The 19,051-nt window shown below is 47.0% G+C and overlaps 1 protein-coding gene and 1 non-coding gene across 4 annotated transcripts in view, besides 1 other annotated feature; both read left to right on the top strand.

Moving 5' to 3' along the window:
* C2CD2 (C2 calcium dependent domain containing 2) overlaps window positions 1–19,051 on the top strand; it is a 68,907-nt gene that overhangs the window by 5,012 nt on the left and 44,844 nt on the right. For 2 of the 3 annotated variants that reach the window (XM_011529522.3, XM_011529523.3), the window contains exon 2: window positions 6,762–6,893. In XM_011529522.3, coding sequence (XP_011527824.1) covers window positions 6,762–6,893 — 132 coding nt within the window. The remainder of the gene's footprint in view (window positions 1–6,761; window positions 6,894–19,051) is intronic. The other variant, NM_015500.2, reaches the window with a different exon arrangement.
* Window positions 725–902, top strand: SNORA91 (small nucleolar RNA, H/ACA box 91). The gene has a single exon (NR_132773.1). It is a non-coding gene; the product is annotated as a small nucleolar RNA, H/ACA box 91 (small nucleolar RNA).
* Window positions 4,301–4,801: an enhancer, noted in NCBI's record as "H3K4me1 hESC enhancer chr21:43364315-43364815 (GRCh37/hg19 assembly coordinates)". NCBI's record gives its function as "activates a minimal SCP1, AML or CMV promoter by ChIP-STARR-seq in naive H9 embryonic stem cells {active_cell/tissue: H9 hESC(naive)}" and the evidence as "EXISTENCE:reporter gene assay evidence [ECO:0000049][PMID:30033119]".

Here is a 19,051-nt window from a genome sequence, read left to right as displayed (position 1 = left end):
AGGGTCCCCAACGCTGTTTGTTTCTTTAGTCCTTCAGCCCAGGGTTTCTTTAGAGGTATGTTCTAATTGCAAATGATCAAGACTATGATCATTATGGTCTTTGTAAAAAAAAAGAAAAAAAAAAAAAAAAAAAAAAGATGCTGTGTGGACTTGGAACATATTATTAATAGCACTGACTTGAATAGGAGTTTCTGCATTTAAAAAGTAAACAAAGTGGCCACCAGACTTCAGAGTCTTTGCATTATATAATGACCTTCCAGTTGTGCTCACGAAGTCCAAACTCCTTGACCAATGACAGTGGCTGTGGTGTAGGAAGCCAGTTGGTAGAACTGTGGTGACCACTGTGGGGAAGGACCATGGAGCTGCCCTTCCCTCCTCCAGTAGAAGGAACTTGGGCCTCTTTGGGGCTGTGAACCCTGCACCCTCCACCGTGACCCCTTCTGTTGCTCCAGTGTCCAGGGACCTTTCCTGTGTGGGCCTTCCCACGGGTCATTCCTTTTGTTTGGAATTCTTATCTTTTTTCCTGCTTATTTAACTTCTCTAAATCTTTTGGGTCTCAGCTCAGAGGTCCCTGATCCTCCCCTTCAGCCAAGATGCTCCCCGCCCTGCCCTCCTCCCGACCCCCCCGGAGTCACTTATGCCCTGGTCAGCTCCCGGCATTGTGAGCTGGGGCAGAGCCAGGGGCTGTCTGGGCAGAGCCAGACCCAGTGCCCAGCACAAAGCCGGCTCGGGGCAGGCCCTGGTCTCAGTGGGGTGAATCATGGGCCTCTGGAGGAGGAGAAACAGTGGTGATGCCCATTCCCCCATCTGGACTCAGGCCTTCTGTCTTGGGAGCCAGCCAGGCCTGGGCAAAACAAGCTGTTTAATGTGCTTTGTTTTTCACTTCTAAAGCATCAACATTAAAGGAGGCTCTGATGACTTTGCAAGTCATCAATGCCAAACCCAGGAATAGGCGCCAGTTCAGTTTGTTCTTTGCACTAACCCATTCTCCCAACAAGACAGGGATTCAGGAAAGTGTGGGTGTAGCGTTCACATCAACTAAAATTCCCCCAACGCTAACTTCCACTCCCGCGGGCCCCTGGTAGGTTGCTGAGGAGGGAAGGCACTTCTTCAGCCCGTGGAAGGGCCCGTGGGGAAGCTCTGGAGCTGGTTGCGGGTTTGCTTTGTGCTCCAGCTCTACCCTCCTAGCTGTGCGATCCTGGGAGAGTCTCTGTGCATCATCTGCAGAAGGGAAAACTGGATTCAATCCAGAAAACAAAATCCACTCTCCTAGAGGTGAGATCAGATCTGTGTGAGACATTTAGCAAAATGCCTGGGACATAGTGAGACAATAAAGGTGGGCTGCTCTCTTTAAAGTCTTATTTTTTAAACTTTTTATTTTGAACTGCTTTCACAGAAAAGTTGAAAAAATAATTCAACTTTCATATATTCCTCACTCAACCTTGCATAACCACAGCTCAATGATCAGAACCAAGAAATTAACATTGGTGGCATGTTACTATGATTCATAACACAAGGAGATTAATGCAATGTAATAGTTCAAGAAATTAGGCCAGGCGCAGTGGCTCACGCCTGTAATCCCAGCACTTTGGGAGACTGAGGCGGGCGGATCACCTGAGGTCAAGAGTTCAAGACCAGCCTGACCAACATGGAGAAACCCCATCTCTACTAAAATTACAAAATTAGCTGGGCGTGGTGGTGCATGCCTATAATCCCAGCTACTCGGGATGCTGAGGCAGGAGAATTGCTTGAACCCAGGAGGCAGAGGTTGCAGTGAGCCGAGATCGCGCCATTGCACTCCAGCCTGGGCAACAAGAGTGAAACTCCGTCTCAAAAAAGAAGGAGAGAGGGAGGGAGGGAGGGAGGGAGAGAGAGAGAGAGAGAGAGAGAGAGAAAAGAGAAAGGAAAGAAAGAAAGAAAAAGAAATTAACATTGTCACAATGCCTAACAACAAAAGCGAAGGCCTTCTTTGAATTTCACCAGTTTTCCACCTGTCTCCTTGTATTGTTCTAGGGTCCCATTAAGGGTACCTGTGGCGTTGAGTTGTTCCTTCTTCATCACCTGCAGTCTGTCAGGGTTTCTCAGTCTTTCTTTGTTTTTTATGACCTTGATAACTAAAGACTGTTGATCATTATTTTGCTGACTGTCTTTCCATTTGCCTGGCATTTTCATATGGTTGGAGCGAGATTACACAAACCACAGAAGTGGTGTGCACTGTGTCTGGGGCTTGTGATGTCAGCGTGTCTTGTTGTAGAGGATGCTGAGCTTGGTGCCTTGGTTAAGGTGACTTCTGCTGGGGTCATCCTCTTGTATTTTATGTCTCCTCCTGTATTAGTCCCTTCTTGCATTGCCAGAAAGAAATGCCAGAAAGACTGGTGGTTTATAAGAAATGAGGTTTAATTGGCTGATGGTTCTGCTGTCCAGGAAGTATAGCAGGTTCTGCTTCTGCGGAGGCCTCAGGAAACTTACAATCCTGGTGGAAGGTGAAGGTCATCTTCTATGACCCAGAGCAGGAGGGGGAGAAAGAGGCGGGAGGTGCTACACACTTTTAAACAACCAGATCTCATGAGAACTCACTCACTGTACAGCACCAAGGGGAGATGGTGCTAGGCCATTCATGAGAACTCCCCGCACCGTGATCCAGTCACCTCCCACCGGGCCCATCTGGTAACACTGGAGATTAAAATTCGACATGAGATTTGGGCAGGGACACAGATCCACATCATGTCACCTCCTTTATCTTTCCTGCTGTAGTTAACAGGTAGTGTGGGGAGATGCTTTGAGCCTGTACAGAGCCCGTTGCTCCTTAAACTCTTCCTCACTGATTTCGCAACCATTGGTGTATCTTGTGTGCAGTGATGGCGCAGGTGCAGTTCTCTTGATGGTGACTTTCTGTTTCCTCTTCCTTACTGTCTTTATTATTTGGAACTCTCCCGCAAGACAGAACTGTCATTTCTCCTCCAATGAGATATTTATCTGATTGTTTAGCTCAATATGGACTCATGGATATGGATTTTATTCTGTGGGTTATAATCCCATACTATCACTATTTATTATATTGTTGTATCAGTCTGTTTTCACACTGCTCTAAAGGACTTCCCTGAGAGTGGGTAATTGATAAAGGAAAGACATTTAATGACTCACAGTTCCACATGGCTGGGGAAGCCTCAGGAAACTTACAATCATGATGGTAGGGAAAGCCGTCACCTTCTTCATAAGGCGGCAGGAGAGGGAAGAAGGAAGGAGGAACTTCCAAACACTTAGAAAAGCATCAGATCTTGTGAGAACTCACTATATGAGAACAGTATGGGAGAGACTGCCCCATGATCCAGTTACCTCCCTCCCTCTGCAGGTGAGGATTACAGGTCCCTCTCTTGACACATGGTGGTTACAAACAGAGCCAAACCGAATCAGTTGCTTAGGTTGTTCTCCTTTGGGCCATCAGGGTGCTCCTTTGAGAGTAGCCTCTTGTGTTCTTCCATCAAGCCCACTTTTTTTTTTTTTCATTTCCTTACTTCATGTTTCCACAAAATATTTGTTTTTGGCTCCCCACAGGCCCTGGATTCAGCCACTTCTTCAAGCAGCCCTGATTCCTTTTATTGGAGAAGTGTTTAGAAACCAAGACCTAGGCATTAAGTGTGTTCATTACCTCTTGGTTCTCATTGCTCCCCTTCAGTGTTCAGCAATAGCAAACATACGTGTGTATACCAACGTGTGTGCGCATGTCTATATTTCTGTGTATTTCTCTCTGTGTTTATCTGAAAAACCGTGATTGTATCCTGTACCTTGGGTTCTAGTCCAACGGTACAGAGTTCATTTTAGTTTTTTCACTTTCTTATTCTTAACTCCCTTCTCCAAGAGTAAGACATTGCACACCTGCTGTCTTATTTACTTACTACTTATGTGTTCAGTTCTAGTATATGCATGAAGTAGTTTCTGAGTTCCCAACCTATGAAACACATTTACTGGATTATAGCATTTATATGCAGTCAAGATGCAGTTTTCCAAGCTTCTTAGGTTATATCCGTGTTTTTCCCATCCCCTTCAGTGTGGTTATATTGTTCATTCGTAGTGCATGTGTTTGTTGGTGCACCAGAGCCACACAGTTTTAATTACGGGGTTTCTATAGTCTGTTTTAATATCTGGTGGAGCTAGTCACCCTTGTCTTCCTTTTTCAGTGTTTTCCTGGCAATTCTTGTGTGTTTCTTTTTCTATGTGGACACAAAGTCTTCCTTTAGTCTAAGTGGAGTGGGGTCTGGAATGAGGGTTCTGTCAGCATTGACACAGCAGCAGAGATGCAGAGATACCTGAATTTGTGGTTGTGTGTGGCAGGCAGGCACACCCTGCTCCTGAAACTCAAGGACTAGGCAGATCAGAAAAGGAAAAGCAATCTCTCTTAATAACTTATTTTCTTTGTGAGACCATCCCTTGACCTTAAGTTTTCCAGCAAACTCTTTTCTTTTCTTTTTTTTTTTTTTTTTTTTTGAGGCAGAGTCTCGCTCTGTCGCCCAGGCTCAAGTGCAGTGGCATGATCTCGGCTCACTGCAAGGTCTGCCTCCCGGGTTCATGCCATTCTCCTGCCTCAGCCTCCCGAGTAGCTGGGATTACAGGCACCTGCCACCACGCCTGGCTAATTTTTTTTGTGTGTGTGTATTTTTAATAGGGACGGGGTTTCACCATGTTAGCCAGGATGGTCTCGATCGCCTGACCTCGTGATCCGTCCGCCTCGGCCTCCCAAAGTGCTGGGGTTACAGGCGTGAGCCGTGGCACCCGGCTGCAAACTCTTTTCAAGGTTTGAATTCAGAAGGTAGCAAGGGAAGAGGGTAAACACTGCATCTGCCGCCTCAGGGGAGCATGAGTCTGCACCCAGGCTGGTATAAGGCAACAGCGTATCTTTAGGCTCCTACAGAAGGTACATTGTTTCTCCGCTGCATCCTCCGAGCGGCTGGCATGTTGCCTGCTCATGGTTCTCTGCCTGGCACTGGCCTCTGTGCTGGGTTCTGTTCTCTCAGGCCAGAGAGCCTGGTGCACAGAACCGTCTCATCACCAAGCTCAGAGCGTGGCCCTGGCCAGCAGGTCCCACTCAAACAAGCTCCCACCACAGAGAATGCCAGCAGAGCAGCCCTGAAACTGTGATTTCAGCCCTCTCGAGCAGTACATTTAATTCTCTGCTGATTTTTGGGGGATGAGATAGACAGTGTAAGAAAAGGGTGAGGTTAGAAGCCTATAAATCAAAATGTTCTGTCCCCTTTAGGTTTACGCGGGTCATTGGGCATTCTTGAGAAATAGCCACAGCGTAACCTCATCGCTTGCTCACTTGCACCATGCTTGCTGGAATCGCCACGGCAAGGTTTTACACCGCTTCCCCTCTCCCACCCTCGGTCACGCCTTGTAGCTGGACCTAGCTCACCACGGTGGAGATGAGATACGATGGGAGCTTGTGGGGCTGTGTGTTTTTTAACCACCCAGTCGGAGCTCATTGAAACACGGTGTGCTTTCTACAGCATGTCAGGAACAGAGTTCTAGGAGAGTTTCGATCTGGGATTGTGTTGTTGATGTACACGTTTGGCCTCTCGAGAGCTAGACAAGACTTGGACAAGACTTGGTTGGTCACATAAGCCCTGGGTTCTTCGTCATAAAACGTTGGCCTTGTTGCCTTGTGGTCCTGTTCATTTAATTGTGCGTCTCTCGTTTGGAGAATTTTTTTTTTCTTTTTGAGACAGGGCCTTACTCTGTCGCCCAGGCTGGAGTGTGATCTCAGCTGAATACAACCTCCACCTCCTGGGTGCAAGTGATTGTCATGCCTCAGCTTCCTGAGTAGCTGGGATTACACGTGTGCCACCACACCCAGCTAATATTTGTATTTTTGGTAGAGGCAGGGTTTCACCGTGTTGGCCAGGCTGGTCTCGAACTGCTGGCCTTGAGCAATCCTTCCACCTTGGCCTCCCAAAGTACTGGGATTACCGGTGTGAGCCACCATGCCTGGCTTTGCTTGGAGATTTTTAACTGGAAGAACCAGAACAGACATGAGCTGACCGAGTTTCCTGGAAGGATGCTGGGGGAACATGCAGAGCCACGGGCACAGGTGAACCTTGGGGCCAGGTGGCTCCAGAGGGCTGTGAAGTAGGGGTTGAGGAGTCTACTCTGTGGGCAGCCACCAGGCGGGTTCATTTCCAGCCAAGGAATCTTGGCCACCCTCTCAGATCCCAGGGAGAGGCCAGCCCCTGGGGGGTAGGAGAGGAGAATGGGGGGCACCCTAAGTAATCGTACCACAGCAACCACACGCAACAGGAGAGGTGCCTCTCCTAGACCAGAATAGAGGACTGTCCCTAGCAACAGGGAGGACACAGCCTGGAGCCCTCTGTGCTGGGCGAGGTGCGCCGCTAGACCCACAGATCCTCTGATTTGCACGAAGCAGCCCTGCCCCAAGAGTCTGTTTCTTTCCTTATGCTGTCAGCAGGAAGATTCAAAACACCCTTCGCTGCCTTCCTGCAGCATCTTCAGGTTTACTCCCGGGTTCCTGTCCTTTCCCAGCCTTCTCCCATAACTGAATCCTGCCCACTGAGCACAATCCATCACCAGCTGCTCCTTGGATGTGCAGAGCTCCTGATATTTAGCCATTGCTGCTATTAGAAGCACAGAGTTCACAGAAAGATGTGTTAGTACATTTTCTTAATTTTTCAGAACTTTAAACAGATATGTAATTTAAAAGATGCAGCCCCTCCTGTGCATGCCCTCCTCATGCTGCCCCTCTGTTCCAGGGCCCACCTTTCCTGTCCTTTGAGGAGGACCCGCGGCAGCAGGCACTGGAGCTGGTGGTGCAGGAGGTCTCCAGCGTGCTCAGGTCGGCGGAGGAGAAGGTGAGCCCAGGAGCCCATTCCCTGCAGGAAGAGGTGAACTTGATGCCGGGGACGGGGAGTTTGCTTTGTTTAGAATCATTGAAAATGCGGAACCCTTACACTAGGAAAAAAATCAAAACAACCATCTGGCCCATCAGCTGATGGGTAGATGAAGAAAGTGTGATCCGTCCACATAATGGGACGTTATTCCGCCTTCAAAAGGAGCGAGATTCTGACACTCGCTCCGGTGCGGATGAACCCTGAAAATACCGTGTCAAGTAGAAAAAGCTGGACACAAAAACCTCATATTGTGTGGTTCCATTTATATGAACCATCCAGAATAGATAAACCTGCAGAGACACAAAGGAGATTCGTGTTGCCAAGGCCTGGGTGAGGGACTCTTGGGGGAAAATGGAGAGTAACTGCTGATGGGTTGAAGGTTTCATGTTGGGGTGATGAAATGTTCTAGAACTGATGGTGGTGATAGTTGTAGAACTCTGCGAATATATTTAAAACCATTGATTTGTATAGCTTCAACAGGTGAATTGTATCTCAGGACATCTGATATCTGTTGCTCAAATATGCACATCATGTTGTAGACTTTATATATTTATGATATATCTAGATTTATGTACATATATTTATGTGTATATGAACTATGTAGATGTTATGTAGAATTCATTTTCCTGTTGCTAACAGTTTATGTGCTCCACTTACTAGACTGGTCAGATAGCATAAAGCATAAAAGCTTCTGTAATAAGTCCTAAGACATTTTCTCTCTCTCTTTTTTGGCTTTGTTTTGTATTGTTTTAGGGATGGGATCTCGCTCTGTTGCCCAGGCTGGAGTGCAGGGGCATCAGCTTACTGTACCCTCAAACTTCTGGGCCCAAATGATCCTCCTGCCTTAGCCTCCTGAGTAGCTGGGACTACAGGCACGTGTCACCGTGCCTGGCTAATTTTTTAATTTCTTTTTTTTGCAGAGATGGGGTCTTGCTATGTTGCCTAAGCTGGTTTTGACCTCCTCTTAGTTTCAAGTGATCCTCCCACCTCAGCCTCCCAAAGTGCTGGGATTATAGATGTGACTCTCCATGACCAGCTGAAATTTTCTCTTCAATACAAATCTTACCCTTGTACTTATTATATTATTGTTGCTGTTGTTATTATTATTATTATTATTATCATTATATATTTCTTACTCTTGGGCTCTGAATTTTCCCCATTAATAAAAATGGTTTATTTGCCAGTTATGTTCAGCATAACTAGCAAATCCAAAGGCCAGCTCCACATGGAGAAATACAGTATATTCTTGTTGGCTGCTGAATGCACTGATTTGTAACTTACAGTCTAGAGTTGCAGTTAGACATGATGGTATGGTCTCACTTTAGGAGGGAAAAGAAGGAAGCAGTGCTTCCCGCCTTCCCCATAACTCACATGTACATTTCCCATATGTGTATATAAAGAATCTATTTTGGAAAGCATCATCTATAATGAAGTTCCATCCTCCATTCCTCCTCTTCCTACCTACAGTGATGACTGTTCTTGTAAAGTTGGGCTGCTCTTCCTTCATTTTCAACCTGTGTTTATATGTTACCTGTGTTGCTGTATGATCTTTATGGCTCCGTCTGCATTTTATTATCAAGTTAGGTATGTGGGTACCATTTAGCAGGCAGCAAGGAGGGGACGCCTGTGTGGCCCCAGACTGAGGAGAGTGCTGCCAGCCCCTTCACCCCACCTCTTACGTATCCCTGTGACAGCTGGGGTATTTGTGTGTTTAACATTTTTACCATTTTTTATGTACACTTTTGCAACAAGCTTTCTCTATGTAGATCACCGTAATTTTGAGACTTCTCCAGGTTGGTTTTTGTAGTTCTTTTCTTTGTAGTTCATTTTGCTTCAACTATAATTCAGGATTCCAGATGAACCCGAGCTCACTTACCCATCTCCTGTTGCTGGATAATGAAATTATTTTCTCTTTTTTGAAAGTACAGGTTGAGTATCCCTTACCTGAAATTCTTGGGGCCAGGAGTGTTTCGGGTATCAGATCTTTTTTTGGATTTTTGAATATTTGTATTATTTTTTTACTAGTCAAGCATCTCGAATCCAAAATACTCCAGTGAGCATTTCCTTCGAGCATCACATTGGCCCTCAAAAAGTTTCAGATTTTGGAGCGTTTCAGATTTGGGATGTTCGGATTCGGGATGCTCAGTCCGCACAGACAGTGCTGCAGCGATTGTGTCTGTTCACCGCCTCCCGACTCCTCAGACAAGCACCGGAGGACCCCAAGGGCAGGCATGAGCCTGGCGGGTCACTGGTGTGCATACTTCAGCTTGACCAAGTATTCCTGAGTCAGTCACCAAAGTGCTGTTCCCGGTTTTCTCTGCCCCAGCAGCATAGGAGAGCTCTCCTTCCTGCATACCCTCGTCAGTCCTGGAGCCACGCTGTTAGATAATCCTTGTAAGTAGTGTGAGGAAGTCACTGGAAAGTACTGGGGTTGCAGGAGGAAGCCCATGGCAGCGGTGCGGGATGCTGAGACTGGCACAGCCTGGAGAGCTGGGAGGGCCCTGCGGCAGGTGCTCCAGTGCCCATTTTATACTCTTGGGAGCTGAGGTGCAGAGAGCCGTGGGCCTGCCCTCCTGGAGCCCGCTGCTTTGGAAGTGCCTTCCCAGGCGGTGAGCACCCTCTCTATTTGTGGCAAATAGAGACTTCATCCCTTTGTGGCTGGGTGGTTTCTGTATGGTGTTTTTGATACTTTCCCAGTTCAGAGAGGAGTGGAATGTTCAGGGCTGGTCTGGACAGGGAGTGGAGGAAGCGGGGCTGTGGAAATAGCAAGACTCCATCTTTAAAAAAACTTCATATTGCCAGAAAAGTGGCCTTACACGGTAGGTAATTCAATTGTAATCCTTTTAATAAATACAATTTCAGAAATGGACATGACAGAAATAGTACATGTAAATTAGAAGTGAAAAACAGCATCGTATTTGTATGGCCATGACCATAGCAACATTTTTCATAACTGCTGAAATGTGGAAGGAACCCAAGGGCCCACTGATGGGCGAATAGATCAATAAACTGTGGCTCGTCCACGCGGTGGAATAGAATTCAGCCATAGAAAGTGAGGACATTCTAGGCCGGGTGCCGTGGCTCGCGCTTATAATCCCAGCACTTTGGGAGGCCAAGGTGGGCGGATCATGAGGTCAGGAGTTCGAGACCAGCCTTGCCAACATGGTGAAACCCCATCTCTACTAAATATACAAAAAAATTGGCCAGGTGTGTTGGCATGCACCTGTAATCCCAGCTACTTAGGAGGCTGAGGCAGGAGAATCGCTTGAACCTGGGAGGCGGAGGTTGCAGTGAGCCGAGATCACGCCAGTGCACTCCAGCTTGGGTGACAAAGTGAGACTCCATCTCAAAAAAAAAAAAAAAAAGAGAAAGCAAGGACATTCTGACATAGGCTATAACGTGGATGAACCTTGAGGACATTATGTTCAGTGAAATAAGCCAGATGTGAAAGGACAAATGCTGTATGAGTCCACTTCTTAGTGGTCCCTAGAGTAGCCTGATTCAGAGAGACAGAAAGTGGAATGGTGCGTGCCAGGTGCTTGGGGGAGGAAAGCGGGGAGTTAGTGCTTAGTGAGGACAGAGTTTCAGTTTGGGAAGATGCAGGTTCTGGAGGTGGATGGTGATGATGGTTGATACAACAAAGTGAATGGACTTAATGCCACTGAACTGTGCACTCAAAAATGGCTTAAATGGTCAGTTTTATGTGTATTTTACCACAATAATTAAAAATATGGAAGGGTATAGAGATTTCTTAAGGTTTCACTATTTCACATACAAGCTTTGTTTAATTTGTTTACCCTTCCTTTACCTGAGCTATGATTTGTCAATCCTTGCCAGGTGTCAATGACTTTATTTTGTTTTTAAAATTTATTTTTTTTAATTGATGAAAATTGTACATATTTATGGTATGCATCATGATGTTTATATATATATATATATACACGTGTGGAATGGCTAAATCTAACATACAGATGATGTCACATACTTACCATTTTGTGTGGTTAGAAATTTAAAATCTACTCTTTTAGCAATTTTCAGGTATATAATGTATTTTTATTAACTTTAGTCACCACGGTATGCAATAGGTCTCTTGAACGTGTTCCTTCTAAATGAAATTTGGTATCCTTTAACCAATACCTCCCCGACGTCCCCAACTCCCCAGCGTCTGGTAACCACCATTCTGCTCTTGGTTTCTTTGAGTTTAACTTTTTAAGATTCTACTTGTAAGTGAGATCACGTGGAATTTGTCTTTCTGTGCTTGATTTATTTCCCTTAACATAATGTTCTCCAGGTTTATCCATGTTGTTGCAAATGACAGGATTTTCTTCATTTTTAAGGCTAATATTCCATTGTGTATATCTGCCACATTTTCTTTATCCATTCTTCTGTTGATGGACACTTAGGTTGATCCCATCTCTTGGCTGTTTTGAATAATGCTCTGGGTATCTTTTCAACATACTGATTTTATTTCCTTTGGATCTATAATGGACCCTTGAACAGCATGAGGGTTAGGGGCACTGACCCCTTGTGCCATCAAAAATCCGTATATAACTTTTGACTCCACAGAAACTTAACTATTAATAGCCTGCTGTTGACCAGAAGTCTTACTGATAATGTAGTCAATTGGCATATATTTTGTATGTTATCTGTATTATATACTCTATTCTTACAATGAAGTAAGCCAGAGAAAAATGTTGTGAAGGTGGCTTATGCCTGTAATCCCAGCACTTTGGGAGGCTGAGGCAGGTGGATCACGAGGTCAGGAGTTCGAGACCAGCCTGGCCAACTTGGTGAAACCCTGTCTCTACTAAAAATACAGAAAAATTAGCCGAGCGTGGTGATGGGTGCCTGTAATCCCAGCTACTCAGGAGGCTGAGGCAGAGAATTGCTTGAACCTGGGAGGCGGAGGTTGCAGTGAGCCGAGATCAAGCCACTGCACTCTAGCCTGGGTAACAGAGTGAGATGCCGTCTCAAAAAAAGAAAAAAAAATGCTGGGTGCGGTGGCTCACGCCTATAATCCCAGCACTTTGAGAGGGTGAGGCAGGTGGATCACGAGGTCAAGAGTTCAAGACCAGCCCAGCTAACATGGTGAAACCCCCCATCTCTACTAAAAGTACAAAAATTAGCCAGGCATGGTGGTGTGTGCCTGTAATCCCAGCTACTTAGGAGGCTGAGGCAGGAGAATTGCTTGAACCCAGGAGGTGGATGTTGCAGTGAGCCGAGACCGCACCATTGCACTCCAGCCTGGCAACAGAGCAAGACTGCGTCTCAAAAAAAAAAAAAAAAAAAAAAGGAAAAGAAAATCATATGGAAGAAAAAAATCTATTTACCATTCATTAAGTGGAAGTGGATCATCATAAAGGTCTTCATCCTCATCGTCTTCACGTTGAGTAGGCTGAGGAGGAGGGAGAGGAGGGGTTGGTCATGCTGTAGCAGGGGTGGCAGAGGTGGGAAAAAATCTATGTATTAGTGGACCTGTGCAGTTGAAACCCACGTTGTTCAAGGGTTAACAGTATACCCAGTAGTGGGACTGCTGGATCATATGGTAGTTCTCTGTTTAATTTTTAAAGGAGCTTCCATATTGTTTTCTGTAATGGCCGGAATAATTTACATTGTCACCAACAGCATACAAGGGTTCCCTTTTCTCCACATCCTTACCAGCACTTGTTATTGCTCATATTTTTGCTAATAGCCATTCTCACAGGTTTGACGTGATATCTCCTTGTGGCTTTGATTTGCATTTCCCTAATGATTAGTGATGTTGAGCCCTTTTTCATAGACCTGTTGGCCATCTAAAGGAGAAACATCTATTCAGATCCTTTGCCCATTTTTTAATTGGGTTATTTGTTTTCCTGCTGTTGAGTTACTTGAGTTGTTTATTTATTTTGGATATTAACCGCTTATCAGATAAATGGCTTGTAAATATGGGATTCCATTCCGTAGGTTGTCTCTTCACTCCGTTGATGGTTCCTTGGATGTGCAGAGTTTTTAGTTTTGGTGCAGTCCCATTTGTCTGTTTTTGTTTTTGTTGCCTGTGTTTTGGGGATCATACCAAAAAAAAATCATTGCCCAATCCAGTGTCTTAAAGCTTTCCTTCTATGTTTTTTTTTCTAGTAGTTTTATAGTTTCTGGTCTCACATTTAAGTTTTTCATGCATTTTGAGTTGATTTTTATATATGTGTGAGATAAGGGTCTAATTTCATTCTTCTGCACGTGGATAGCCAGTTTTCCCAGCACCATTCAAGGTGTCAGGACTTTTTTTTTGAGACAGAGTCTTGCTCTGTTACCCAGGCTGGAGCGCGACCTTGGCTTACTGCAACCTCTGCCTCCCAGGTTCAAGTGATTCTCCTGCCTCAGCCTCCCGAGTAGCTGGGATTACAGGTGTGCACCACCACGCCCTGTGAATTTTTGTATTTTTAGTAGAGACGGGGTTTCACCATGTTGGCCAGGCTGATCCACTTGATCCACCCACCTCGGCCTCCCAAAGTGCTGGGATTACAGACATGATCTACCGCGCCCGGCCCTCAGTGTCAGAACTTTTCTGGCTGTGGGGGTCAGGCTTCAGCAAGCACAGACGGGCATGCTGCAGTTTGCAGATACTCCCACACTCTGGCAAGTTCAGACCTCAGGCTGCCATGGTTCCATTCTGTCTCAAACATAGGAATTCCGCTATTATCATAAAATCAATACGAGTTCATTGATGAAAACTTGAAAGACACAGAAGAATATTTAATAAAAACACACAGTAGTTGCATGAACTGGTGATTAGCTCTGTTCATGTGTTGGTGTGCATTGCCAGTCTTTTGCTTCTGCATTTATTTTTTGCTACAATTTACACTATATTCCATTTATATTCTTTCCCCCATGTTACTAAAATTCCCCTAAAATTCTAATGAATGAACACATAAGAGTCAAGGCTGGCCAGCGCGGTGGCTCATACCTGTAATCCCAGCACTTTGGAAGGCCAGGGCAGGTGGATCACGAGGTCAGGAGTTCGAGACCAGCCTGGCCAACATGGTGAAACCCCGTCTCTACTAAAAATACAAAAATTAGCCGAGCATGGTGGTGCACGCCTGTAATCCCAGCTACTTGGGAGGCTGAGGCAGGAGAATTGCTTGAACCTGGGAGGTGGAGGTTGCAGTGAGCCAAGATGGTGCCACTGCACTTCAGCCTGAGCGACAAAGCCAGACTCTACTCGGGAAAAACAGAAAAAACAAACAAACAGACAAACAAACAAGCAAAAAAAAAAAACGAGGCAAGGCTGTGAAGCAGCAGCCGTGTTGTCCTGGTTAGGAGCATGGTTCCTTGCTCCGTTCTTTCTCTTCCTCTGTGTGGCTCGGCTTCTCACCTGTAAAGGTAGAGGATACTGTCCACCCCCTAGACGGGCTATGAGGATGGAGTGAGTTACCACAGGTACAGCACATGGAGCAATGCCAAGCCTGTGCGGGGCTCAATATTTTCTCCTACCTCTGTTGTTATTTTTGCTCATGTGTTTATTTCCTCACTGTTCCTAGAAGTAGAAGAGTAGAGGTACTTGAGAAAGAGTACGTGCATTTTGAAGGATGTTGATACATATTGTCAGAAAAGCAACCTTAGGAAGTGGACTAGCACATGTTTCAGGATCTTGATACATAGTGTCAGAAAAGCAGCCTTAGGAAGTGGACTGTTTTTTATTTTTTGAGACAGGGTTTCACTCTGTCGCCTAGGCTGGAGTGTACTGGCACAGACACTGCTCACTGCAGCCTCCACCTCCTGGGCTCAACAGTCCTCCTGCCTCAGCCTCCCCGGTAGCTGGGACTACGGACATGCAGCATCATGCCCGGCTAGTTTTTTTATTTTTTCTGTAGAAATGGGGTCTCACTTTGTAGCCCAGGTTGGTCTTGAACTCCTGGGCTCAAGTAATCCATCGTCTTCTGCCTCCCAAAGTGCTGAGATTATAGGTGTGAGCCACCTCACCTGGTGAAAGTGGATGATTAAATTGTATTTGTTTTGATATAATTACAGAAATAGTTCATGGTCATTAAAAAGTTAAAAATAAAAATGTCCAAACTTTTTTTTTTTTAACCATCTATCTCCTGCTGCCGCCTGCTGGGATGAGGCTGCTGTTAACAGTGTTCTCGGAAGCTTTTTCCTGCCGGAGGAAAAGCACACACACACGGACTCTTGTTTTGTTTTGCAACAATTTTCCACGTAGCTCTTGACTTTTATGTTTTTGTGGCCAAATGAGGAAAGGAGCCCTTGCCACTGCCTTGTCGTGGCTGTGGCTCACACTGTCCTTTGAGGTGGGGTGAGCCCACCAGTTGAGTAGACGGGTTCCCTCCCCTCCCCTCCCCTTTCACGGGGCTGTGAGTGCGGGAGGAGGAGCCTGGTCGCTCTTGCCAGCCTGGATCCTATGCATACCCACAAGGAGGAAGTCCTGTTGGGATCTGCCCGGGCTCCTGGGAAGGGTCAGTTGGGAGTAGAACACCCTCGGGTGCTTGGATTGTGTACATGGCCTTTTCCATTCTTGGATGAGCATCTTGGCCAAACATGACACATTTTTAGGGCACTGTTTTTGCAAAGGCATCCAGCCAGCTTAATCTCTTGTAAAATGTCCAGGGTGAGACACTGCTTAATGTTCGTGCGTTAAATAAAAATGATAAGACAGCAAGGCCTCTTTTTGTTAACACTGTTCGGTGAGTTCAGCCCTAGAACTGCCGTGTAGGGCAGCGGGTTCACAGTGGTGTTCCTCTTCTCTGGTATCTAAGCCACACACCCCCATGGTCTCCAAATTTACACCTAATTCCGTGTCTGCACCGCCTCGTGTTCCCTCAGCTGGGCATAATTCTTGAGAAGGAAAAAAAAAAACTGTAACAGAACTTGAGGACCTGTGACAAATAAGAGGTAGAAAAGAAACAGGAACTTCTCATTCCAGGGCATCGCCCCTCCCTTTCAAAGCTCACACTTTGGTGTCAGGTTGCCTCTTCCTATCTTTCTAACTCAGCCTTGACAAGGGACATGTGGTTGGCATTTGAGCCAAGACAGGGACAAGGCCGCCGGAACCCAGCCTGTCTGTTATGTAATGCCATCTCTGATCGGAAGGATAAGGCCGAGGACTGGCTGGCCTGAGCTCCCCACCTCCTCTCCGCCGACAAACCCCTGACTGGTGTTCCATCTGGAGTCTCCCTGTGGGTCCCTCTCCCAATGAAACTGGCTGCCGTGCCCACTGGATGCCTTTTTCTTGGACTTTCTCCTGCCACCCTGAAGGCCTCGGTGTGTCCAAGTCATCACCTTTGCAAATATCTGGTTCATCTGCAAAACCCTCTCTGCATAGTCTACACAGAGTGCGGTCTTCCAGAACTTGGAGCAGCTTGAGTCATCCCACAGGACCAACGATAGATAAGTGCAGAGTCCACACCCGGCCCAGCCGCGGCTGCGGCCAGGAGCAGTCTCAACTATGTTTACTCACAACACTTTGGACACCAAATGTGTGGGGGTTTTTCTCACACCGATTATCAGTTCTTCAACTCTGGTGCCAACTGGGTGTCCTACAGTTCAACTCCATTCTGACATTACTCAGACTTAACACAGATCCCAAAGGCCCAGGGCTAGGTCCCGCAAGACGGCCCCCACTTCAGACACCAGGCGTAAGCTCCGGGTTGCCCCCGTTCTTCTGACTATCTGTAGATGGCAGACTTCCCCAACCCACCCCACTGAGGTTCACATATTTTACTAGAGCGGCTCATAGCACAGAACTCAGGAAAACAGTTTACTAACTATTACTAGTTTATTGTGAAGGATATGACTCAGGATCGGCCACATCGAAGGGATGCTTAGGCGGGCGGAGGGGGAGGGCAGGGACTCCAGCAGCTTCATGCCCTGCCTGGACGAGCCACCCGCCCGGCACCTTGATGTATTCACCACCTTGGAAGCTCCCCAAACCCATCCTTTCAGGGTTTTTATGGAGGATTCATTCGCTAGGCATGATGGATTACATCATTGGCCATAGGTGATTGAATGCGACCTCTAGCCCCTCTGCCCTCCCTGGAGGTGGAGTGGTGGGATGCTGGAGGTGGGGTGGTGGGATGCTTGAGGTGGGGTGGTGGGATGCTGGAGGTGGGGAGGTGGGATGCTGGAGGTGGGGAGGTGGGATGCTGGAGGTGGGGTGGTGGGATGCTGGAGGTGGGGTGGTGGGATGCTGGAGGTGGGGTGGTGGGATGCTGGAGGTGGGGTGGTGGGATGCTGGAGGTGGGGTGGTGGGATGTTGGAGGTGGAGTGGTGGGATGTTGGAGGTGGGGTAGTGGGATGCTGGAGGTGGGGCTCAAAGTTTCTCAAGTGACCAGCCCCCATCCTGGTGCTATCTGGGGTCCCCCCCAACAGCCCTTTTGTCAGCATATAAAAGACACTTGGCCAGGCATGGTGGCTCACGCTTGTAATCCCAGCACTTTGGGAGGCTGAGGCAGGTGGATCACGAGGTCAGGGGATCAAGACCATCCTGGCCAACATGGTGAAACCCCGTCTCTACTAACATACAAAAAATTAGCTGGGCGTGGTGGCACGCGCCTGTAGTCCCAGCTGCTTGGGAGGCTGAGGCAGGGGAATTGCTTGAATCTGGGAAGCAGAGGTTGCAGTGAGCCGAGATTGCGCCACTGCACTCCAGCCTGGCGACAGAGCAAGACTCCGTCTCAAAAAAAAAAAAAAAGACACTCTTCTCAAAAGACGCTCTTATCTCTCGGGAGATTCCAAGGGTTTTCAGAGCTTTGTGCCAGGCATCAGGAACAAAGACCAAACACATATTTATCACAGGCAGCAGGCCCTGCAGGGCTGTGGCATTTTCCTAAGGGAATTCTCCTGGGTGCCTGCCTTGCAGGGTATCTGCTCAGACCGGGTGTGGAAGCACGCTCCTGCCCACGGCTGCTGTGAGCAGGCTCCAGTGAGGGCTGGCTTGGAGGCAGCAGAGCATGGCCTTTAAACTTTTCTCCGGGGCTCTCTCTGCATTCTCTTCTAGTCCCAACATGCACCGAGTGCATTTATTTCTCCTAGACTTCAATTACCTTCTTACACAAGAGTAACAAGTTTCTACCTATGTTGTCTTTCCTCATGTCTTGGGAGAGGTTTGCTCCAGAATGTTTGACCTAGAAGGAGGAAATTCCTATTTCCATATCTCAAGCCACCTGAGAGCCAGCCCTTCCCCCGCAGGTTCAGCCACAGCCCTTCCCTGGCACGTGGGGGTTCAGAAGCTTTTCATGACCCCTTCCCTGGGGGTCTGAGGTCCACACATCAGTAAAAAGATGAATGTGAATCAGGGCTTAGGAACTGTGCTGTGACAGGTCACTCACTGAAAAAGAGTTGCATTTCTTTTAGGAAATATTGTAACCGAATACCCTCATTTTCTTTCTTTCTTTCTTTTTTTTTTTGTTTTGTTTTGAGACAGAATCTCACTCTCTTGCCCAGGCTGGAGTGCAGTGGCGCAATCTTGGCTTACTGCAACCTCCGCCTGCCGGGTTCAAGTGACTCTCCTGCCTCAGCCTCCTGAGTAGCTGGGACTACAGGCACGTGTCACCACGCCCGGCTAATTTGTTGTATTTTTAGTAGAGATGGAGTTTCACCATGTTAGCCAGGATGGTCTCGATCTCCTGACCTCTTGATCCGCCCACCTCGGCTTCCCAAAGTGCTAGGATAACAGGTGTGAGCTACTGTGCCTGGCCCTGAATACCCCCATTTTCTAAGAAAAAGAGTATGAGTTATTGTTGGTTTATTATTATTTTTTTCTCTTTTCTTTCTCCACTTCCCCCTGCTCCCCACTTTTTACTTAGCCCTTCAGAAATGCAATTATAGCCTCTTACCTCCCTTTCACCAGAAACTGCCTACCGGGAAAGCTTACCTAACCATGTGCTCAGGTGCTCCAGAATGAAACCCTCACCCACCAGGAGGTTGCCTGGAGAGAGAACAGTCGATTTATAACCCAGAGTGTGCCCATGATGAAACTCTCTCCCACCGGAAGAGTTTCGGCTGTTACAATCTAGTCCTGTCCACTAAGGCACCACTGGTCACCAGCTTGGACACTCAATAGATAAGGCGCCAAAGCAAGTTAGGTGAACCCTCACCTGCTCGCTTCCTCCCTTTCATGACATTCATGCCAAGCCCCCTTTTGAAAGTGCCTGCTTTCTGCC

This window comes from Homo sapiens, chromosome 21 (assembly GCF_000001405.40).
Source record: "Homo sapiens chromosome 21, GRCh38.p14 Primary Assembly".
In the NCBI taxonomy this organism is placed as follows: domain Eukaryota; kingdom Metazoa; phylum Chordata; class Mammalia; order Primates; family Hominidae; genus Homo; species Homo sapiens.
Note: the sequence above shows the minus strand (reverse complement) of the source record. Positions and strands in the feature narration are given on the sequence as shown.